The following is a 24,136-nucleotide window of genomic DNA, read 5'->3' on the forward strand; positions in this document are numbered from 1 at the left end:
ATCCTGAGTGGGTGGTGGAGGAGAGGCACTGTGATTATGCAGGGACACCCAGGCCCAGAATGGAGGTGGACATCAGAAGAAGAGGAGAATAGGCAGAGCTCTGGGGACTCAAAGGAGAAAGGGATTTAGCTGGAGAAAGAATCAGGAAATGCTTCAGGAACAGGCAGAATTGGTGAATAGGTAGAGAGGAATGCAGCAGACATTTAGAGAAAGGGTAGTGGGGGGTAGCTGGGGGTTGGAGAGAACATTCCAGGCTAAGGAAAATTATTGAGCAAATATATACAGAGGGGAGAGCTTACTACATATTAAAAGAACTACAGGAGTCCTGACTGACACATGAGGCGGTGGGGAGGCAGGGGGAAGCCATATTGTCATGTACCTTTCATGACATAAAATCTGTTTCTAGCTCAGTAGGTAAAGGCCAGCAATGAGGAATATTCTTGAAGCAACAGAGTGCTATTAATATCATAATAAATATTAACAAAATTCTCTAGCAGCTCAGTTAAGAGTTGGAGAGGGGCATATGGATAGAAGACCACCTAAGCCGCCATCAACAAGGTTCTGCAAGAAGTGAGTGATGGTACGTTTGGAAAGGAAGAGACAGGTATGGATAGAGAAGTGGGAGAATTAGGAAAAACCTCCTCACAATAGCATAGTCAGTAGGTTTTGGGAAAGGAGGAAATCCTTTGGAATCATTGCTATGTGAAAGTTAGGGATGCTGAAGACTAAGAAATAACTTTGATCTCCAGATTGGAGTTCCGCTGCCTTCAAAAGTTCAGTTCCAAAGGGGAGCAACAAAAGATAAATTGAACACAATTGGGGGTGAGTAGCTGGGAAAGAAACATAAGCAGCAGGTGGCATAGAAAAATCATATACCAATGCCCTACTGTACTCCAAGGGGAAAGTCAAGGCTTATTTTTTCTAGGTGAACATTGTCTTACTGCTTTACTACTCATATTATTTTTTCTAAATCAGGAAGTTGCTGTATGCATTTTTATGGATTTCCAAATATTTGTTGAAGTATTTTGTGAAATTTTTCAATTTTTAAGAAATACTGGATTAAAATGAGTTTTTTTATTTTTCTGTATAAGAATCTTAGAGGGAAGCTGATGACCAGCTGTTGATTCCTGGTCACTTGGAAATTAGGTTGGAGGTGAGGTCCTTCTGCACATGACTCAGGGCTCTATGACTATTGGTTACGGAGGGGAGAAACCCTCTAATAGCTGCATGTTGCCATCCTCTGCTTCAACAGCAGAAGCCATTGCTGTTTTCAAGAAATGCCCACTTGAGCAAGCTTCTGGCAGGTGAAAGTCATGCTCTCTAGGCTAATTTATTGGCCATACAGAGCAGCAATTCCATTTTTTAACTTCAGGTAGGCAGTGAATTGTTATGTCCATTGCAAAGCAGGGAGGAGGGAGGTAAGTGCTTATTGTAGAAATGAGATATGAGCAGGCTGTGAGGAGATGAGCTGCTCCACCCTCTTCTCCAATGTCAAGACACTTGAAGGGAAGTGAAGAAGGATTTTCCAAGGCTTCAATTCTTTCCAAACAAACAGAAAAGCTATAATTCCAATATTCTTTAGCTATTTCAACTTGAAATTATTTCTCTATAGTCACTTCTCTCCCTCCACACAGGTTGGTTTCTGTATTATGTTAAGCAGAGCAGTTGAAATGCTGTACTCTCCAGCATCTGATGGTGACTGCTGCTTCCACCCTCATGGAGCACAGAATGGCTACTCGACTCTATGATCTAATACTGGAAGTCAGGAGTTATGTTTATTCATTCAAAAAACAATCATGGAGGGTCTACCATGCTCTTGATAAACAAAACAAAGCAAATTGAACAACCATGATCCCTGCCCTCACAGCTTTCAGGGTCAAATGGTGATGTCATGAATCACCCAAAATGGGTCTTCTTTCTCTTTTCCAGTGTTCATTTAACAGACATTCTCATGGACTCTGTTTTAAAATTTGAAGCCAAAGATGGAACATGTAGGTGGACTAAGTAACACTGGTGAAGAAGGGGTAGTAGATAATGGGAATGCACTAGTGGGTGATGCTGGGAATAGTAATGCCTTTCATCTTTTGTCACCTAAGCTTTTATGCCATCTGACCCTCCACAAGCCTTATGAGATCACCAGGGCAGTTATTATAATCCCCATTTTACAGAGTAGAAAACTGAAGCTCAGTTGCTCACTGTCTCACAGCTAGCACAGCAGAATCAGAACGAGAATGAAGACCCCCTGAATCTTGATGTTTCCATCCCACTAGGCCAAAATAATGAAGGCAATATTTTTTGGTAAATTGGCATGCATGAAGTGAAACAAATAATCCATAAAGCTAGGTAGCATTATTTTTATGGTTAGGTAAAAAATAATCCACTGAATATTAATAACATAATTAGAATGCTATCAACAGTCATCCAATCTATTCAAAAATTTCAATAATACTTCATGAGTGCTTGTTACATGCAAGATGCTTAGTCATGAAGGACATAGTGGTGAGTAACAAAACATGGTGCCAGCCCTCTTAGATAGAATCCTGAAGGTGGAAGTTTCTTTGTATCATGCTGTGATATTGTGATATAAAAGGAAACATATATTTTTGTCTTTGTCCAAGGTTCCTGGCTCACAGCTCCTGAAATCCTTGTAATTTCCTAAATGATTAGAGTGATAGGAGTAATAGGAGTATCTTTTGTGAAAATATTTTGTCTTTTGTTCTAGGTTTTTTAAACAGCTTACAGCAGTTACACAGCAAGAAAGATGAACATATCTTCTCTTACTCATTGCAAGCCCCTTTCAGTCAGAAGATTTTTGGAAAGCCCCTAGATAACTGCAAGATGAGGCGCTGGTTGCCAGGGTGAGCCAAATGTGAGATTAAAGGGTTAAAACTTTCGGTCCCCCAACTCTGACCTCAAAGGAAAAGAAAGGAACTGAAGGTTGGGTTGATCACCAGTGGTCAATCATGTAATCAATCATACCTGAATGATGAATCCTCCAAAAAAACATAAAAGAACAGAGTTTGGATTGCTTCCAGGTTCCTGAATACAAGCATGGGCCAGGAGGGTGGCACATCTCAACTTGCAGGGGGACAGAAGCTCCTGCATTTAGGGCCCTTCTAAACCTCCCTCTATGTAACTCTTTATCTGGCTGTTCATCATGTCCTTTAGAATCCTCCCCTTCTCTCTCTCCAACTCTGGTACTAAATGATACATGGACTCTGTTGGTTTCTAACAGCTTATTTACCCGACATAAAAAGTGAAAAACAGAAAAGCAGGGGCAAAACATAAGAGCTGATCCATTTTTAGGATAAAATTATTGGTGAGCTCTTCAAGGCTCAATTTATAAAAATGATAAAATTGAGTCTAACATTTTTGGGTAACACATAAAAGCTAGAATCAAATTGTATAAAAACCACAGATGTTGTGTGCTGATGCCTGGCTTTGAATTCCAGCTATGCCACTTATCAGCTGTGGGGCTTTGGCAAGCTATTTAACTTCTTTGTGCCTCAGTTTCCTCATCTGTCAAATGTGGAGGAAGATATTATGAGGATCAGATGTCATTTTATGAGTAAAATGTTTAAAATAATACCTTGCACAAAATAGGTTCTAGATAAGTTACCTATTAATACAAATATTATCTACTGAAAAGAGATTTGCCAGACAATACACTCAGAGTTGTAACAAAGTATAAAAATAACGTCGTTACCAATTCCTACAAAAATCGATGCCATCCTTTTCTCCCCTCTGTCAGTTGAAGACCCGGCAAGGATGTAAGACACATCCATCTTGCCATCTCTAGGGTGGAAGTACCCTGGCAGACAGTATAATTAAAAGCAAACTCAGAGAAAGGAACAGAAAAGCTCCTACCATAAAATGGCTAACTCTAAGTATATGCAAATGTTTGATCAGCTGGTGGCTCAATCTTAAGGATGCCCTGAAAAGCTATCAAATACCTCTCTCACTGAAGATGACAAAAGTAAGTATTCCCATAGTCTTTAACTAAGAATAGCTCTGCATGAAAGATGAGCATTAAAATAATAATCAGAACTACCATCGGTCATTTTCATGAAATATTCCAAGGATGCTACGATGATTTCTTGCAAAGACTAGAATATACAAAGAATGAAAGAGCTGGCAGCAACTCCAGTGATCATTTTGCCCAATACTTTAATGATGTAAACTAGAAAACTGAGGTCAAAATGTTACTAAGGGAAAGCCCAATCTCTCACAAGAAAATCACAGCCCATCTAGCCCAGCTCTTTGAATTTCCCACTCCATGCACCCAGTGATAATCTCTCTGTATCATGCAGGCTGTTGGGAAATAATAACAATGATAGTGATATAATAACAACAACAAACACCTATAACACATTTCTACATATTTTATTAAAATAGAAAACCTTTATTGAAATTGTAAATGACAGAAGAAAAGTACATTATGCACAGAAAAAAAAAGTCCCCTCTTTTACAATATGGCCCTGGGCTACCCAAGATTGGCACTGCTCTTAAGCTAGCCTTTCCTTCCTGGTTTCCTCCTTCTTCACTCATAAGTCCCATCACATGTCTATGTCCACATGCTATACAATGAGCTTCTCCTCCCTTTCCATCAGACCTCACTGCCCTCCGATCTAGTGCTCCAAAGTCTTACTGGAAATTCGTCATAAGCAACACCGAAGAACTAAGGATAAATATGCTGTCAGATACTACCTCCTCTTCCCATGTCTGCATTTAACAGGGACCTGCTTTTTCTTTACTCAAAAGTAACTAATGTAGTCATTTTGGACAGACTGAGAGATCTTTTAAGCCAGAAGCTTTTAAAATTCCAGTATATTGTCATTATCTTCTCTGCTTAAGTGAGGCTGGTACTACTTCCTAGCCCAAATTCACAAATCTTTATGGTGGTGATAAGAAAACGATTATAAACAATTGGCGATGTGCATACAACTGTGAGTTATCAGAATCAGGACAAAGGACGACAAAGAATCTACAAGCATCTTGATAGACAGGGCCAATTGAAGGTGCATTAGAGAACCTCAGCAATGGAGAGTTCCACCCAAGGTCAGACCTTTACTGTCCCAGATAATATTTACAGGTTCAAAGGAAATATCAATGACTTATCTCTCAAGAAAGACTTACAGTGGGCAGGCCAGACCCCTGATGGGTGTGAAATCATTTTTTTGCATCGAAGATTTTCATTAGGTATTGTAGAAAAATTCAGTATGCTAGATTTTGAAAAACTGAGTACAGAGCATCCTTTTCAGGAAAAACAATTTAGAATGCTTCCTTTCCCAATTTTGACTTACATGGCTTTTACTGTAATGATACTTAAATACATACAAACATAAAAATTCTTATAGTTTCAGCTCCTCTAAAATCATCAAATGCCAACTAAAAGTTTTAACCAAATACCCACAAAAGTGTAACACCAATTCCGTTCAAATGAACATTTACTTAATATTCAGATGATGATGTTTTCCTAAAAGTAACCCTCCATTTTCATTATGGCTATGATATTGAAAACCTCAACACAGGTGTCTTGGGATTCAGAATGCTCCCACTACCTGCCGTGCAGTAGGGTCTGTCTCACCTTTTTTTTTTTTTTTTTTTTTTGAGATAGAGTCTCACTCTGTCACCCAGGCTAGAGAGCAGTGGCGTGAGCTCACTGCAGCCTCTGCCTCCCGGGTTCAAGCAATTCTCCTGCCTCAGCCTCCTGAGTAGCTGGGACTACAGGCACTCACCTCCATGCCTGGCTAATTTTTGTATTTTTAGTAACGATGGGGTTTCACCATGTTGGGCAGGATGTTCTTGATCTCCTAACCTCATGATCTGCCCATCTCAGCCTCCCAAAGTGCTGGGATTACAGGTGTGAGCCACTGTGCCCAGCCACATTTCTTTATCCACAGCAAAACTAAACATACTGGACCAGTGTGCCATGCAGTCATATAGCCTTCACTTGAGGCAAATTACATAAGTCCATTGTTCATTCCCATAAGCCCACAGCTACTAAAATAGCATTGGACAAACTGGATTGCAAATATAAAACACAAATTCCGGCACCAAAACCATGCAGCAGTATTATTCATTATAAAGCGGGCCCCACAAATGCCTTTACAAATCCCACTTTGACAAGGAATGGTGGGCTGTGGTGACAAAGAGATCATTGGTGAGTCTGGGCTTCCCACTTATTACCAGTATAATTATAGGAGAGTAACTCAACCTTCCTGATCCTCAGTTTCCTCATCTAAAGAACAGCAGGATGAAAACAGAACTTACCTCACAGGTTTGTCGAGAGGACAATATGTGATAACATGTGGGGTCTTTAGCCAGTGCTTGGTGCTTAATAGGTCCTCAATAAATATCCACAATTATTCCTGTTCAGTTGCTTTGTATCCAAGTTCCACAAAAGAAGAAAGAATGCACTATCTTACCAAAACATAAGCATTTCAAAATAATTTGAGTTTCAGACAGAAGAAGCATTTAATACATCTGCCTATAAAAAATTCAGACACTGCTCTCAGTCATATCTGGTGCTTTGTTATGTCACAGAGATGTGGTACTAGGTCACATTCTGGAAAAAAGAAACCTATTCACCCACGCAAAATGAAACTAGACAAACTTATCATGTAGAGTTACTTGTTTTTTTTTTTGAGACGGAGTCTTCGATCTGTCACCCAGGCTGGAGTGCAGGGGCACGATCTCAGCTCACTGCAAGCTCTGCCTCCTGGGTTCACGCCATTCTCTTGCCTCAGGCTCCTGAGTAGCTGAGATTACAGGCACCCATCACCACACCCGGCTAATTTTTTGTTTTAGTAGAGACAGGGTTTCACTGTGTTAGCCAGGATGGTCTGGATCTCCTGACCTCGTGATACGCCCGCCTCGGCCTCCCAAAGTGCTGGGATTACAGGCGTGAGCCACTGCGCCCGGCCACTTGTTTTTATAGTTAATAATTGTGTGAAGAGAACAAAGGCTTTAAAGACATTTGAAGGTGTTGATATCTTCAAGTTCGTGTTTCCGAATTATTTAGAATAAATATGATGGATAGTCAGTTCATTTTACCACTGACTGAGTGCCCGCCATATGCAAGCCATAGTGATGAGTGTAGCAGGGGCCATGGCGATGAATGAGTAGGTGCAGTCTTCACCCTGGGGGCACTTATTGTCTACAGGGAGGTGTAGATAAACAAGTAAGAAACTTAAAGTCTACTGAACTCTAATTTCCCTAAAGATGGGGATTATGTCTTACTGGTTTTTATACCCTAGTGGTCAGCACACCTGATTCATAGTAGAGGTAAATGAATTAATGAAATATATGAGTGAATAAGATATATAGGTTATCTATGGATGTGCCATAAATGCAGGTTCAACAAAGAGTGATAGCTCTTTTGAGGGCTCAGGAATTGAAGAAATACAAAAGAGATGGAATTTGAAGAAAGTCTTGAATTTCAAGAAATAGAGATGGGAGAAAATCCAATTATAATTTTATATAGTTGCAGTGTTCTCTAAATTGGTTCTCATTAGTAAAATAATTCTTACTCTGATTATTATTATATCTCACATTTCTATAACTCTTCATATCTGAAAATTGTATGCATTTGCTTCTTAGTTTGTTATTTGTTACAAAGACTTTTGATTTATTTATAAACAACTTGGTGGTTCATTATTTATTAGAATAGGAAGCTGAAGAAGTAATATCTGGTCTCTGGCAGCTGTGTCTCAATTATTACTATTGGCCTCCTGGGGTTCTCTAATAAGTAGCCATAAAAAGTCAATTTGCAACTAGGAAAAAAATGCATATATTTGGCAGCATTTACATTGCCATGATTGACAATAGATACGAATGACAGAAACCCTACAATTTGAGAATAACTTCATCTCGATATTAGCATAAACCAACCCTAGGATAAAGAAAGAGGTATAGGAATGGTGTGTTTAAGCAATGATTAGGATATTATAAAGGCTGCATGTAAATATCTCAATAGGAAAAAATCTAAAAGCAAGAAGAGGCATAATTTTGATACTTTGGAAAATCACTCAAAGGACTGGCTGATCCAAAAAGGAATAATAAAAACTGAGTAAAAAACACTTGGGGAAAAAACTGTTATCTTAAAGATAAGCTCTCACTAAACTAGATTATGAACCATTTCTAGATAAAGAACCACTTCTAGATAAAGAACCAAGGTTAGATGCTCATCAACTGACCTCAAATTACTAATACATTTTTTAATATTAAAAATAATATTAATTTAATATTAAAGGATATTAAATTTAATATGCTTTAGCTATGTGTATATATTCTGCCATCTGAATACCAGTCCCCTTTTTTGGAAAAGGAATAATATCTCTTTGTTTTCAAGCCCTAGGATCATTGAGAGAGGTGAGAGAAGAAGAATGAAAACAGGCTAAAGGTAAAGTCCCTAAACAGTGAAAGGGAGGATTCTGCCATGATCTGGGATTGTGTTTTTGGAAATGGGGCAGGAGTGCTGTTGTGGTCTGTTGGGAAATCCACCATGTCAGGCTCCCAGATAAATGGAAATGGGTCCCAAACACCAGTTAGGTAAAGGTCTCTAACCTGCATTATTATTTGGATTTTCTTTCCTAAAAGATATGCCCTTGAAAGTTATACTGTCATAAAATTACCTAGGATTAGTTTTCATGAATATCCATTAAGATATTTCTAGTTTTACTCAGATAAAATAACCTTCTCATAGTATCACACCTTGGCTTGAACTGTAAGCCAATAGCCAGGAGAGGTTGTGAGGACATCATAATGGTTGAGCAAAGAGGAAGAGGCTAAATGAAGGGTAAAAAGCACCAAAAGCATGGCATATGTTTAATCTTTATCACCCAAGACAAAAGTCTTTTGATAAATAGTCATCTTTGTATAAGCATAAGATTTTAAAGGTTATTTTAAGGAACAAAACTGAAAGCATTATGAGGAGCTGCCACATTTGGGCATTCTACTTTTGGAGACCCTAAAGGTCATTCCATGAATCATACATGGTCATTCCCTTCAGTGCTTGCCATATGGCTTCCTGGGAGCTGTCTGGTAGGAAGGAGCACAGGGGAAACCGCTCACCTAGATTTCCCCACAAGCACACTGTGGACTGCCCCATGTCCCATGTAAGCTATCGAAAATTACACTAGAACATAAGTGATCCCATCTAGAGACATTCTAAGTTTCTTAATGTCCTTAGTTTCCACTTTAATTATCTCAGCAGTTTTCACACAGCCTGAAGGAAGTAGTTGTTGGCTCGATGAAGGTAATTTAGATCCAGAGGAGCCACAGGAAGCTCTTCAGGTTTACCATTCCATCTCACCTCCACCTGGAGCTGACCCTTCCAAATCAGTCTGCATACACGTAGGGGCTATGATAGCCCTCTTAACCTTCCAGAACAACAGACACTGAACCTCCCAGTGTGATTACAAACAGAATGGGAAGGAAATCTCCTCTCCCCACCCATGATATCTCAGGAGGCTGAAACCAAACCAGCATCCAGGGTGCAAGCCAAGAATCCCCACAGTGTTCATGTGTTGTGGCACTTAGACACAAGGTCAGAAGGTCAGCCTTTGAAAATCTGACTGAGTAAGTAATTCAACTCAGAGCATCACCTAAATGTCACCTTGTCAAATTTTTTTTGTTTACCTTGTCAAATTTTGAAGTGTAATGGGCAGAACAGAAGTCACCAAGAGACAGAGAAATAAGAAAATAAAAGCTACCAAAAAAACACATTTTGTGATATGCCAGTTGCTAAATATCTTTCCTGACCAAAATGTGACACTTTTTAAAATAAATAGTTGCTTGTATGTCATAAAAGATCAAATAAATATTAATGCCCACAGCAGGACAAAAGTAACCTATTCACGAATTATTAGTTTTCACTTGTCAAGGCTAAGAAATTTTGCTGTTGAGCAAATAAAATTTTGTTTGAACCACCATTAATTTATCTGAATTTACATTGCTATTTCAAAATTCAGGTGCTGATATCTGTAATCAAATAAATAATTTCTTTCTTGATAAATTATTAAACCTCATAAGAGAAGTATAAACTGAGCATTGATTTGTCTTGGCCAGATACTGGACTTTTAGCTTTAACAGTTACAGAAGTCAAAATAAATAATCAATTAAATTAATCTAGCCTGACTTTCAGACAAATTTATGGGGGAAAATAATTCAAATTGGCTGTTTACCTCAATAAATTGGTCAATATAATCAAAATACTATAATTGATATGGTAGCCTAATAGTAAATGTAGAGCCTTTTTTTCTTTGAAAAGACTAATTTGAATAGTCATCAAATTAGAAAAATGACCACTTAAGTGATTTTTAAGAAGATTCCAACGGTTATCTTAGTGATTTATTCAAAATGGTTTTCTCTGCGTCGTGTCTCATTGAGTAGGTGAACAAAGACCTGCCTGTCTGAAGCTTGCCCAAAAGCAGAAGGGGAGCTGGTCAAAACCAGCTAAAGCAACAACAGAACTAATGCAAATAAGTGCCCATATTTGCTGTCAATATCTTCCAGGATAACTTTTCAGGATTTATAAACTGTTTTTGCTGAATTGAGAAGCCAGAAGAAGCAAACTGAAGCAGTTCTCACATAAGCAGAGTTTGTTCTATTCTACTTAGCATAAGTCCGCGTTAGCAGATCAGCAGGCTGTGATGACAGCTGTCAGCAGTCAGGTCTCACTGAGGCTGCTGTATCCATGGGCCAGGCCACTGATAACGGAAACATCAGGAGAGAAGCCATCCACAGAAATCAACTTTCCTACAAACACTCATGTATGCTGAATCTACCAGATCCCCACCCACTCATCTTCAACTCCCTAAAAGAAAGCCTAACTTCCTTGAACCAATTGTTAGGCATGAATATTTCCAGGGTAGGGGCTATCTCTGGAAAGCACTAACACCATCAAGCCCTTATCTTCACCAAAAAGAGTGCTTACAAGAAGGACAGAGGTGACATCTGTATTCTCCTGCATTGCTTGTGGGAAAGTTCATTAGTATAACCCGCTAAAAAAACAATTAAAAGCAATGTCAGTATACAGAGAAAGCTTTAAGAAGGTCTATCTGTTTGAGCCAATAGTCCCACTTCTAACAATCTGTCCTAAGAAAATAATCCAAAACATAGAAAAAAATTGTGCTCAAAGATGTTTATCAAGGTAGTATATATGATATCTTAAATAATTGGGAACAATCTGAATGTTCAACAATAGAGGAAAGCGTAAATGAATTACGATAAAATTATGCGTGGAAATGCTATGCAGCTAATGAGAAAAATATTCAAAAAGATTATTGGCTTCATATGAAAGTTATTTTAAATTTTCAGTGAAATGCACAGAATGCAAAATTCTGTACACAGTTATAATTCCATTTCTATAAAAATATGCATATAAAAAGTGAAAAGTACATCAATATGTTTATAGTAATTGTCAATTGCTCATGGTAATATGTGTTATTTTAATTCTCTCTTTTTATACTTTCCTGTGTTTTCCAAAGTTTTTCTAGAAAGCACATATGTCCAAGAAAAAAAACAAAACATTAAAACTTCAGGGCAGAGGGTCCCTGTTTTCCTGCTGAGTGGACATGCCTCAGCAGACAGTGGAAAATATTTCTAGCCTTCATGAGCAGACTCCATGTTCTGCCTGTCACTCACGCTTGATGTAAACCCTGATGATGACTCCTTCTTGCACTCCACATCATGCCTATCCTTTCCTCAACCTTGGCTTTGACTTTCACCCTTCTCTGTTTATACTAAAACACCCCTCTGGCAGTACCTCTTCTCTTCAAACCACAGTCTCCTTCCCCCTTCACCAGCTGGACCCAGTTCCATGTCCTGATCAGCTCTGGCCTGACCTGACCCACATTGGTACTGACAACAAATAAGTTACCCCCCCAAAAAACAAGCTATTTGTACCAAAGAACAGGGCAAGGAAATACAACATTCTTAATGCATTATATAAATGTATTTTATATGCATTGGACATCTTTCTTCTCACAGCCATGGTACTATACCAGGCCCACCTATAATTGATTTCTTGTTATTAGTAGGTCCCTATTGTGACAATCATCCTCAACATCTGTGCAGAGCATTCCATTTTTCTGTGCACATTCACAAACTCATAGTACATCACCCTCACACCTTTGTAAAGTGGGGAGATAAGGTATTATTTTCCTAATTGTACAGATAAGAAAACTGCAACTCAGAGAACCGGCACTGAGTGGCTTATTCCCCCTGATCCTCAGGGTGTGCTTTTCTGTAAATAGTGATGATAATACCCACCTTGTGGAGTTGTTGTAAGGATTAAATGAGATAACGTATGTAGCATGCTGAGCAAAGCATCTGGAACAGGGGCAGCATTCAACAAATGCCAGTTCCTATGACTGTTAGGTCAATGGGAAGCTCAAGGTCACATAGCAGGGAAATGACAGCACCAGGATTGAGATCCAGGCTTTTTCATGCCAAGTCCATGTTCTTTATACTTCATTCCCAACACTGTATGAGAAGTACTAAGGCATGGCCCGAGTCTTCAGAGAAATTATAATATTTTGGAACAGGCAAATCTCAGTTACATGATATAATAAAGCAATTATTCCCACAAAGAACTAAGAAACAGTGATAAAATCTAGGACCGTGTTCTAAAATAATACATTTTTTTGGTCCAATAGCTACCATTACAATGTCTTTTTATGCATACATTCCAAAGCTTAGGATTCCAAAATTTTATCCCTTGTCTTGCAGTAAGTTGAATATAGAAGATCAGATATGAAAATAAGGCTGTTTCCATCCATACTATAAAAAATATTTTCTGTGGGCATTCTGAACTGCAGGGAGTTTGAATTGTATTTGGAAGCATTTCTTTAACTTCTGGAAAGTACCATTCATGGTCACTCACTTTATCATTTTTAAGGGATTTTTGAAGTTTCCATTGAGTTTAAAGCTGCTTCCATCTTTAAAAATATTCCTCAACTAATTAATTTAACTTACAATATATGACACCTAGAGTTGGTAACAAGTGAAAAGACACAAGAACAGTGAACACTTTACAGGCAGAGGCAGAAAATTCTTCAGGAAGACAAAGCACATATCTGTGCACAGACACACACAGAACAGAAAATCATTCTGTCCCCTCTCTATTCTATGCCATAATAATAGAATCCAGTATGACCAACCTTGGCAATACTATTTCTTTATTTACAGCAACATTGGCCTCCTTATAAGCTGGCAAAAGAAGAATTGAAAACTCTGTGTTGTGGAATGTTGACGCTTCTTTATCTCTAAGAAGGTAACCTATTAATGAATACTTCAGAGATGCACATTTTGGAAGTTATTTAATGTGCTGTGTGTTTTTATACTACCAACATACACTTCTTTCTTAGATAAATAGATGATACTCAACTAAGAGGTGGCCCCTATCAAAGCTATGAAGTAGGAAACTTTGTCTTCAGAAACACTCTACCTTTCCCTTTCTACATGTCGTTTACCCTGGCGGCAAAGGGTGGGACCTCCATTTCCTGAGCACCTTCACTGAGACGGACTTGTATGTGGTGCCTGGTTTATAGTACTGCTTCAATCCTCACAATAATCTCACAATATGTGCATTAATTGCCCCAGTTTCTCAGACATGAGGAAACTCTCATAGAGTTAAAGCAACATGTCTAAAGAAAAGAAACTGGTAAGTGACCATGGAGATTCCTCTACTTTAGTGCCCAGGCAGGCAGGGTTCCCCTTCCAGGACCATGCTTCCCCAACCTCAGGCACTCCCATTAGCTCTGTAAAATGGATCAGTTCACACCAAACTATTAAGGAGAAGCCACCATTTGTGTTAATCCTCTTTGAAGTATTTCTATCCTCTAAGTGACCAGACAGGTACGACCTTAACCCAAACCAATGGTTCTAGTAGCAGAGAATTTGAGAAAGCAAACAGCAAGACTTCAGAATGTCACACTCCCTAGAGAGCATCTAACCGACCTCTTGTTCCATGAATATACAGATTTAAAATAACAAAAGCCTGAGATGGGATGTGACTTTGCAAACATCACACAGCAAATCAGGTGTAGAGCCCAGTCAAAAGCCAGGACTCCTGACTCAGTCCAGTTCTCTTTTGTGGCATCAGCCAAAAATATCCAAACCTAGGGCAAAAAACACATTCCAGGATAAAAAAGAATTATTTTAATGCTATTAATTCACATTGGTAATTCAGAATGCTGGTCAGAGCCTGGGCTTCAATTCTAGGTGCACGTCTTACAAACTGTGTGACCCACGCAAGATATCCTCTCTTTGCCTTGGTTTTCTTGTCAGTCATCTGAGAATAACAACAGTGCCTGCCTCATAAGGTTAGTGGGAAGATCAGATGTGATAAACCAGGTACAGTTCTAACTTCCTTGTGTTCAGTATGTAGTAAGCACTGAATAAATGTTAGATATTATCATTATCATTATTATCACTGTTACCACTAGTAGTAGTTCAAATAACTGAGTTCATACTACCACTTTTGGGGATAAAGGTAGAAACAACTTCCTGCTATTAAGTTTGTCTCTCCTTCTTCTCTAAAAGCAACCTTACACAGTCTCAGAAATGAAGAGAAGTAAGATCAGTAGAAGGTTAGCACCAGAAATGAAGAAATTACATTTGAAAATAAAAGTGCCTACTGAACATTTTCATTTGGTTGTTCAAAATAAAAATTCTCCATCTTTCTCAAGTCTCCTCTTATTTACTCCCTCAGTTAAAAGCCTGACCATCCTCTAGACATCTAAGCTTCTCCTTCCATACCACCATCCACTTGGTGACCAATGCTACCGATCCTCCCCCTGAAATGGCTCTGTATAGATCTCTTCTCTTTCCTCCAGGCCATCTGGTTCAGGCACATTTCATAAGTTTTCTGGTTTTTGTTTTGTTTTGGTCTGTGCCACTCCAATGGTCTAAAGTCTCCTCATTCCTTTTTGCAACCCCACCTCCTCACACCTCCACAGTCACTTTTGCAAAATGTAAGTTAGATGAAATCATTCCTACCATTAAGGGCCACATGGTTTCTCCTCCTTAGCAGGGTATATTCACAATCCAGCTTCAGTGAAACCTTTCTAAACATTCCTGTCTTCCCTCAGAACATGTAGGTGTCCTCTGAATGTGACCTTTCTGCCATGTGTGTATGCTGTTCCTTCAGTGTGGAATACCCAGCCCCTTCTCTAGACAACTCCTACCACCTATTGGGATCCAGACCAAATGTAAACTCTTCTTTAAACTCTTCCAGATTCCCTCCACTCTTTCTTCTGTTGGCTCCCATTAAACTTGTTTCTGTCTTCATTAAACACTCATGATGTTGAATCATTACCATTTATTTTCTTCTCCTTTTCTGCTAAATTGATTTCTGGGAGGCATGGGCCTCATTCTTTTAGCCTCTGGCACAGGACCTACAAAGCACACAGGAGGTGCTCAACAAATAATTATTGAATTGATCGAGTGGATGCTACAGAACGTAAAATAGGAAAATGAGACCTCGGTGATTGTCAATGTTAGTCTCAATAAAAAGAATTTGTGATATGTATGACTGTCTGCAAATGATTACACAAGTGGTTTTTAACACCGTGATGTGCACTTACAAATGAGAAAGCTCTCGAGTTCCCACTTCTGTCTGTTACACGTTCATCACTGGAGAAAGAGTCATGCCCTCCCAAATTTAGGTGAGTTCTGGAGGACCTGCACACACTAAGCATTTTGAGAGCTCTCAGAATCATGTAGCTTTAGATGAGAACACTTTTCCCTCACAAAATTCTATGGACTGGACTCAGGTAGTAGATGCTCAGTAAATGCTGATTTGATTTGCAGTGGATTTGAATGCAAAGTGCAACTCACATTTTAGACTAATTGAACTCAATGGCTGATCATACTTAATATAATAGCTCTAAGGCTAAAGAAAATCAATGACTACACTGAAAAGCAGCCAAATGCTCACTCTCCTGCCTAGTTGACAGTCAATGCTGACCTGCCTCTTGATCCTTTCCAGCTTTTGGGTATTTCCAACTTCACTGTGCCCCCAGAATGCAGAGGCCGGTTAGCAAGTGTTGCGTGGTACCTTGTGGTACATTTGTTCTTCGTTTTGAAGTGATGTAATAAAGGATAACAAAGGTGTGAAACTTGAGTTGCACTGTTAAAGTTGTCCTACATTTCCTAAAGCCTCCCCTCTGCATGATAAGTTGAGTGAAATTCTGGCTGAAGGGAGAGAGAAGTGTGAGCTGGAATGCTGTGACATCCCTTCATCTCCAATTGTGGAAAACTGTGGGAATGCATATTAAAGGAACCCCAGAAACTTTTGTTTTTACTAAACTGAGACTTAAAAAAACTTCATTTGGCAGTTGAACACCTCTATCCCATTGTAAGAAACAGGAAAGATTCAAAGCATGCATTCTGCTATAATTCATTTTGGGATAAGAAATAGGCAGAAGTACCTCGAAGAATAAATCATTAACTAAAAGGCAAACCGAGGCACCCTGGAAACCAGCGAGACCTGGAGGCGGCCGAGGGATCAGGCGGCTGGGATTTGCCTGTTCCCTCTGGTGACTTCTGGAGCGAAGCATCCCACAGGCAGGACGAACCCGGCACACTGCGCTCCGCTCCATTTCACTTTTCAAACTTGAAGTTATTTTTAGATGACCCAAGGCCGCTAATCCCAAGCAGGACAATTCTCAGCCCGCTGCACCTCAGTGCACCTACCCCCTCCCCAGCCTCTGCATTGGGAAGAAGGGATCTCTCGATCTTCTTTGCTCTCTGCATCCAGTTAGTCTCTTCTAGACCCTCTCTAAGCCTCAGTCCCGGGGATCACAGGCGTCATCCTCGCTCCTTCACTTATGCACCTGCTGCTGCTTCCAGGAAGGCAAACCCCCGGGCCACGGGCAGTGGGGAAGGGGCTCCTTTGGACCCGCGCCCCCTAGAGGGGGGTCGCGGGAGATCTCCGTCCCCACGGCCGCAGCCGGGACTGACCACAGATCTGGAGACAAACCCCACCCCCGCCACTGCCCCCACCCCCGCCACCGCCCCCGCCCCCGCCCCCGCCCCCGCCCTGCACCCAGACCCGGCCCGGAGACCAGATCCCCGCCGCGGACCCCCGGCACGACCCCGGGGCTGCTGTCAGCCCCGGCGGGACGGGGTGCCTGGGCGAGCCTGGCCGGCGCGGTTACATAACCGACCTGCTGGGCGTCCGCGATGCGCCGGCGGAGGCGGAGGCGGAGGCGGCGGCTGGGGCGTCTACGGGGGCCAGCTGCTAGCGCGCGGCGCTGCCTGCTCACCTGCCCGCCGGTGCGAGCGCGTGGGGGCGGCGCGGTGCCCGCGGGCCTTTGCGTGGGGCCGTACGCGGCGCGGCGCGCCCCGCCTCCCTCTCTCTGCCGCCGTGGGTCAGTGGGATTCTGCCTGCTGCCCGCTCCTCCCCGCAACCTCCGCCGCCGTCACCCGGGACAAAGCGGCTCCAGGGAGGGGCTGAGCCGGCGGCTCTCGCAGGAGCCGGCGGAGATGGGCGCGTCCCCAGCTCCGACTCATCGGGCCAACCTCCAATCAGACCCAGGGAAACCGAAAGCCCCTGTCTGGCCTCTTCTCATCTCCTCCCTCCTGACCCGGCGCCCTCCCCAGTCCCCTACCCACCGCACCTCCGGGGCTCTCACCCTGCCCTCAGCCCCGCACCCCCTCCTTTCCACTTCAGGTGCCCGGGAGGGCGCAGGAGCCTCCGGGCACCTGGCGTGGGAGCCTGGCTGCAGGAGTCCCGGCCTCAGCGGGAAGAGGCTCCTCGGGGTCCCATACTAAGCTGAGGGTGAGGGGGCAGCGACAGCCCAGAAGAAATGGTCAGAGAAGCAAACTGTGGTGGGGGAGTACTGGGAGAAAGACTCTTCTTACCAGATGTCTGAGCCCCCCGACTCTGGCTAACTGAGGAAATGTCGGGGAGCCCCTGGATGGTCCTCCCGGGCTTCTGCGCTTGGTGGGCGCTGGCGCCCTCTGGCTGGAGCCCTGCGCCCGGCCCAGCCCAGGCCGCTGAGGGTGCCCTGCGCGGGCTTCACAGCTTTGCCAGGATTTGCAGCCATCAGACCTGAGGACAGAAGGGTTCGGGCTGCAAGGAATCCTATTGTGTGAGAGCCATGACACAGTGAGTGGGAGGTTGGTATCCTACAGCAAACGGGACTGAAGGTGAATCGCAATCTAGGGTAGATCTGTTGCTCAACAAAGTTAACCCCAGTAGAAGTCTCTGCTTTACGGAATAAAGCAACTCAAATGGGTAAGGAAGCCTGTGGCTTACGGGTGGCACAGATAGGAACAGGACTGAGTCTCATGGCAAGAGAATGTGAATTATGCAAAAGATCATAGGAGAGTGCGGGAAATTAAAGGAAGGAGGTGTGCAGACCAATCTGAGGGAGGGAGTGAATAACATTTAAATCAGGTTTGTGTTCTGTCATCTTTCGAATTGCTGCATAAATAAGCCGTTTTCTTTTTGCTTTTTATGCCTTTTGATTTTCTGATAACAATATTACGATTGCACTGAAGCAGTCCATTCACAATCATTCTTCACTTACCCACACTACGTTGTTTTTTTCCAAAGTTGACATACAATCACGTTTTGTTTGTTTTCAACAAAAAAAGGTAGACGAGACGTTGGCTCTTCTCTCTGATTAATCTGCATTAACATAAACACAATTTCAGAATTGAAAATGACCTTAGGCTTCCCCTCGTTCAGCCTTCCCCTGGATGCATAAATCTGTAATTAGTCGTTGATTTAGATAATTGCCATTTGGGTTAGAATTGTCTGAAAGGGCATTCTTAAGTTGAGCAAAAACTTGCCTCCCTTTAATCATTAGTTCTCCCTTACTTTTTGAAGCCAAAGAAACCAAGTCAAATTCCTCTTCTAACTATCTTTAAAATATGTAAAAATAGCTAGCATGTCTAATGCACTCCAGGATCCCCTTTCTTTCCAAGTAAAGCATCCCCAACCCTTTAAACAAAATCTCACTTATTATTAGTGAGTACTTCCTAGAATCTTCGTCAAACTGATGACTTTCATCTTAACAGGGACTATTTATTATTTTGTGAATATACATTTACAAATAAAATTTTCAGCTTATAGAAGCAATATATTCATTGCAGAAATTTTGAAAAGTTGGAAAAACACAGGATTTAATCTGAGAACTAAATGAGGTAATACATGTAAAACACCTAAGCACAGTGCCTGGCACACAGTGATACTCAATATATGTTAGCTGTTACCAAAATCAACATAGCCATTTTCCTAACACCAAATATAGATATTGTTACTTTTCTAGATGCTGTTTCTGAGTTCTCATAGCCACATATTCCTCCTTCTACTGCTAAGAGAAATTCTGTGTTTGTCAGTTTGTGTGAAGAAGGAAGCATAATAAATGAGGAAAAAAATGAAAAGTGACAAACAGCCTCATGTTGTTTACCTTGAGAAGAACAAAATGTTACTAGCAAAACAAATGTTAATGGCAAGAAGAAAATACAGAGAGAAAAAGAGTTTATGGGATGGGGTCTGAGCTTGAAGAGGATTTTGGAGAGCAGGAGTGAGGCTAAAGGGTAGCTAATGTTAAGGATGGTGGTAAATAAGATCAGAATTTTGGTTTGCTAACATTTATTGAGCATTTAGTATATGCCACGCTCCAAGCCAATGAATTTTTATACATTAATTCATTTCACTTTCATGGCAACTCTATTAGATAGGTACTATAATTAACCTATAGTAAAGAAAGCACAGAAAGATTAAATAAATGACTTGCTGAAGCTAACAAGTGGAAAGCTGAATTCACACCTAGACAACCTGGCTTTGGAGTCCCCACTAGACTAGACTGCCTCTCAATGGTTGTATGTGACATTATAAATATAAACTTTTAGGTTCACAGGAAAGTTGAGCAGAAAGAACAGAAAACTCCCATATACTGCCTGCCCCCACATATGCATAGTCTCCCTGACTATCAAAGTCTGACACAGGAGTAATACAATGAATAAAGCTACATGAACACAACATTATCAACCAAAGTCCGTAGTTTACAGATCCACTCTTGGTGGTGTACTTTTTTGAGTTTAGACAAGTGTATAATGACCTATATCCACCATTATAGTTTCACACAGAATAGCTTCACTGCCTTAAAACTCCTCTGTGCTCTGCCTATTCATTCTATCCTCCCCACTAAGCTCTGGCAACCACTGAATTTCTAATTGTCCCCATAGTTTTGCCTTTTCCAGAATGTCATATAAGTGAATGTCATTTCAGATTGGCTTCTTTCACTTAATATGGATGTAAGTTTCCCTGTCTTTTCATGGCTCAAATAACTCATTTCTTTTTAGCACTGAATAATATTTCATTGTCTGGATATACCACAGTTTATTTGTTCATTCACCTGTTGGAGGACAACTTGATTGCTTCCAAGTTTTGACAATAAGTAAAAAGTTGCTCTAAGTATTCATGTGCAAGTTTTTGTGTGAATGTAAGCTTTCAACTTGTTTGGGTAAATATCAAAGAGTGTGATTGATAGATCATATAGTAGGTTTAATTTTGTAAGAAACTGACAAACTCTGCTGAAGGGGCTATACCATTTTGCATTGCCACCAGCAATGAATGAGACTTCCTGTTACTCCACATCCTCACCAGCATTTGGTGTTGACAGTGTTTGGGATTTCCACCATTCTAATTGGCATCTCATTATTTTGATTTGTAGCTGCCTATTGACATGATGTTGAGAATTTTTATATGCTTATTTGCCATTTGTCAAACTTATATGCTTAAAGCCATTTGCGGTGCCTTATTTGCCATCTTCTTTGGTGAGGCGTCAGTTCAGATCTTTTGCCCATTTTTTAATCAGATTATTTTCTTATGTTGCTTTTCTTGTTTTCTATTGGTAAGAGTTATTTTTGTATTTTGAATAAGAGTTCTTTATTAGATATGTCTTTTATAAATATTTTCTCCTACCTGGTACTTGTCTTCTCATTCTCTTGACAGTGTCTTTCGCAGAGCAGTTTTTAGTTATTTACTTATTATTTTTTTGAGGTGGAATCTCGCTTTGTCACCCAGGCTGGAGTGCAGTGGCATGATCTTGGCTCACTGCAACCTCCGCCTTCTGGGTTCAAGCAATTCTTCTGCCTCAGCCTCCCAAGTAGCTGGGACTACAGGCACGCACCACTGCGCCTGGCTAATTTTTGTATTTTTAGTAGAGACAATGTTCCACCATATTGGCAAGGCTGGTCTTGAACTCCTGACCTCGTGGTTCACCCGCCTCAGCCTCCCAAAGTGCTGGGATTACAGGCGTGAGCCACTGTGCCCCACCTGTTTTTATTTTTAATAAAGTCCAGCTTATCAATTTTTTATAGATTTTACCTTTTGCACTGTTTCTAAAAAGTTATCACCAAACCCAAGGTTATCTAGATTTTCTTCCATGTTATCTTCTAGGAGTTTTATGGTTTAGAATTTTATATCTTGGTCTATTCTCTATTGTGAGTTAATTTTCTTGAAGGTTATAAGGTCTGTGCCTGGATTCTCTTTTTTTTCCTGCATGCGGGTATCCTCTTGTTCCAGAACTATATATTGAAAAGATGATCTTTTCTCTGTTGTATTGTGTTTGGCCTTCATCAAAGATAAGTTGACTATATATTTGTGTGGGTCTATTTCTGGGCTCTGTATTCTGTTCCACTGATGTATTTGTTTGTCCTTTCACTCAGACCACACTCTCTTGATTACTGTAGCTTTACAATAAATCTTAAAGTCAAGCTGGTTTGGTCCTCTGACATTGTTCTTCTCCTTCAATATTTTATTGACTACTCCAGATCTTTTGCCTTCCCATATAAACTCTAGAATCATTTTGTCAACATCCACAAAATAATGCCATTTAGACTGGGATGCCATTTAATCTACAGATCAAGGTGGGAATAACTGACATCTTGAGCACACTGAGTCTTCCTATATATAAATATGGGATATCCCTCCATTTATTTAGTTCTTCTCTGATTCCTTTTATTAGAGCTTTGTAAGTTCACTTACAGAGATATTGTAAATATTTTATTGAATTTATGCCTAAGTATTTAATTTTTTTGGCTTTTGCTTATGTTTTAATTGGTCTGTCTTTTTCGTGTAGGGTTGTAAGAGTCCTTTAGGAATTTTGGATATTAACTTGTCTCAAATATATGATTTACAAATATTTTCTCCCATTCTGTGAGTTATCTTTTCCGTCGCATACATATTTTATACATATATATGTATACAAATTTACTTCTTTATTTCTATGTCTATTTTTATATATTGAAAACCATGAGTTTGCAATAATCCTGCAATTCCAACCCATCACCATAGGGTTTATTCTAGTTTTTCCCCTTTCCAATGTACACCTCTTTTCTCTAACAATGGGAAAACATGGCTCCTATCATCCTCAATAAATTTATTTTTCCAATCTTTTTTGGGCCTTGCCCTACTCAGGCACCCTCTTTGTACAAGCCTCAACTCCTACTGGACCATCCTTTCTCTGATGACCTCCTCTCCTCTGCCCAACACATATAATGCTGCCTTCCTGCAAGAGAAAGAAGAGAAAAGAGATGAGAGAAGAGACTTTAAATAAGAGGGCCAGGCATGGTGGCACACACCTGTAATTCCAGCACTTTAGGAGGCCGAGGCGGGCAGATCACTTGAGCTCAGGAGCTCGAGACCAGCCTAAGCAACATGGCAAAACCATGTCTTTACAAAAATACAAAAATTAGTCGGGCATGGTGGTGGGTGCCTGTAGTCCTAGCTACTTGGGAGGCTGAGGTGAGAGAATCACTTGAGCCCAGGGGGTTGAGACTGCAGTGAGCCGAGATCATGGCACTGCACTCCAGCCTGGGCAACAAAGCAAGACCTTGTCTCAAAATAAATAAATAAATAATACGAATGTGTATGTGATCAGAGCAGGGTAAAATGGATCCATCATATCCATTCTCCTGGATACTATTTCTATTAATTCCTCTTAAGTGCCTATATGGTTATTTTGCTGTCAAATCACTCAGTTGATTCATGTTGAATTTACTTTCAACTATAATCCCTCAGTCTTTTAAATACTTCGCTGTACAACAATAGACCTCTCCCAATACTCACCTCACAGTCTCTATCTGCAGAGTAGAATTTTTAAACAAAAAATTCATGGTAGAATGAATCCTATAATTTCACAAGCTGAGATCATTCAGAGCTTAATTTTTGCTTTCAGTATGTTAAGTATTTGTTATTCCATCCAGATTTGCATCATTGGCAAATTTTCTAAGTATGTTGTCTACACCCTTATTTAAGTCAGTGATAAAACTGAATGAGGTGAGAGCCGGGGGACCACCACTTGAGACTTCCATCATTGTCAGTGATTGTCAAAGGACACACGAAAGTCATGCTCACTTTGAGCAGTCAGAATCTGGGGACTGTCCCACAATACATATTTCCTCCTGTGATTCTGATGTGCTTCCATGATATCCATACTTCTTCTCCTTTTCCATTCTGCTCTGAGTTGGATCGCAATGCTTTTCTAATTGACATTATTAATATAAGAACATCATATCTCTTAGGTCTATGGGGGAAAATAGGTTGAGAATTATCACTCTATTAAATTAGAACTCTTTATACATAATTCAAGTAACTGAAGAGAATTACAATATGTACTTGTCATCTGGGAGTAGTGGCTCATGCCTGTAATCCCAGCTCTTTGGGAGGCTGAGGTGGGCGGATCATGATGTCAAGAGATGGAGATCATCCTGGCCAACATGGTGAAACCCTGTTTCTACTAAAAATACAAAAATTAGCTGGGCGTGTGGTGGCGCGCGCCCATAATCCCACCTACTCGGGAGGCTGAGGCAGGAAAATCGCTTGAACCCAGGAGGCAGAGGTTGCAGTGAGCCCAGATAGTGCCATTGCACTCCAGCCTGGGCGACAGAGCGAGACTCCGTCTCAAAAAAAAAAAAAAAAAAAAAAAAAAGTACTTGTCTTTATGTGCCAAACATTCATTTATTCATTCAACAAATATTTGTTGAGTATCCACTATGTGTTAGGTACTGCTGTAGGTGCTAGGGATATAGCAATGGATAAGACAACATGTTTGCTCTTATGGAGCTTAGAATTTTGAGTGAAATATATCCCTTGTACATTTGCCTG

At 40.6% G+C, this 24,136-nt stretch overlaps 1 protein-coding gene and 1 long non-coding RNA gene across 5 annotated transcripts in view, besides 3 other annotated features; one reads left to right on the forward strand and one right to left on the reverse strand.

The window, feature by feature from the left end:
* The window catches only part of RCAN2 (regulator of calcineurin 2), a 271,235-nt gene extending 253,260 nt beyond the window's left edge, over nt 1-17,975 (reverse strand). The window contains exon 1 of one of the 4 annotated variants that reach the window (NM_001251973.2): nt 17,875-17,975. The gene's annotated coding sequence lies outside the window, so the exon portion shown is untranslated. Of the gene's footprint in view, nt 1-6,273; nt 6,515-17,177; nt 17,455-17,874 lie in introns of those variants that run through there. The other 3 variants (XM_024446301.2, NM_001251974.2, XM_011514226.2) reach the window with 3 other exon arrangements.
* Nucleotides 13,676-14,288: an enhancer, noted in NCBI's record as "OCT4-NANOG hESC enhancer chr6:46455408-46456020 (GRCh37/hg19 assembly coordinates)". NCBI's record gives its function as "activates a minimal SCP1, AML or CMV promoter by ChIP-STARR-seq in naive H9 embryonic stem cells {active_cell/tissue: H9 hESC(naive)}" and the evidence as "EXISTENCE:reporter gene assay evidence [ECO:0000049][PMID:30033119]".
* Nucleotides 17,417-17,506: a silencer, noted in NCBI's record as "silent region_17270". NCBI's record gives its function as "represses an Ori minimal core promoter by ATAC-STARR-seq in GM12878 lymphoblastoid cells {active_cell/tissue: GM12878}" and the evidence as "EXISTENCE:reporter gene assay evidence [ECO:0000049][PMID:35858748]".
* Nucleotides 18,017-18,076: a silencer, noted in NCBI's record as "silent region_17271". NCBI's record gives its function as "represses an Ori minimal core promoter by ATAC-STARR-seq in GM12878 lymphoblastoid cells {active_cell/tissue: GM12878}" and the evidence as "EXISTENCE:reporter gene assay evidence [ECO:0000049][PMID:35858748]".
* RCAN2-DT (RCAN2 divergent transcript) overlaps nt 18,057-24,136 on the forward strand; it is a 41,435-nt gene continuing 35,355 nt past the window's right edge. Inside the window, exon 1 of the long non-coding RNA NR_125837.1 lies at nt 18,057-18,132. This is a non-coding gene — a long non-coding RNA (RCAN2 divergent transcript). The remainder of the gene's footprint in view (nt 18,133-24,136) is intronic.

Source organism: Homo sapiens, chromosome 6 (assembly GCF_000001405.40).
Source record: "Homo sapiens chromosome 6, GRCh38.p14 Primary Assembly".
NCBI classification, from domain to species: domain Eukaryota; kingdom Metazoa; phylum Chordata; class Mammalia; order Primates; family Hominidae; genus Homo; species Homo sapiens.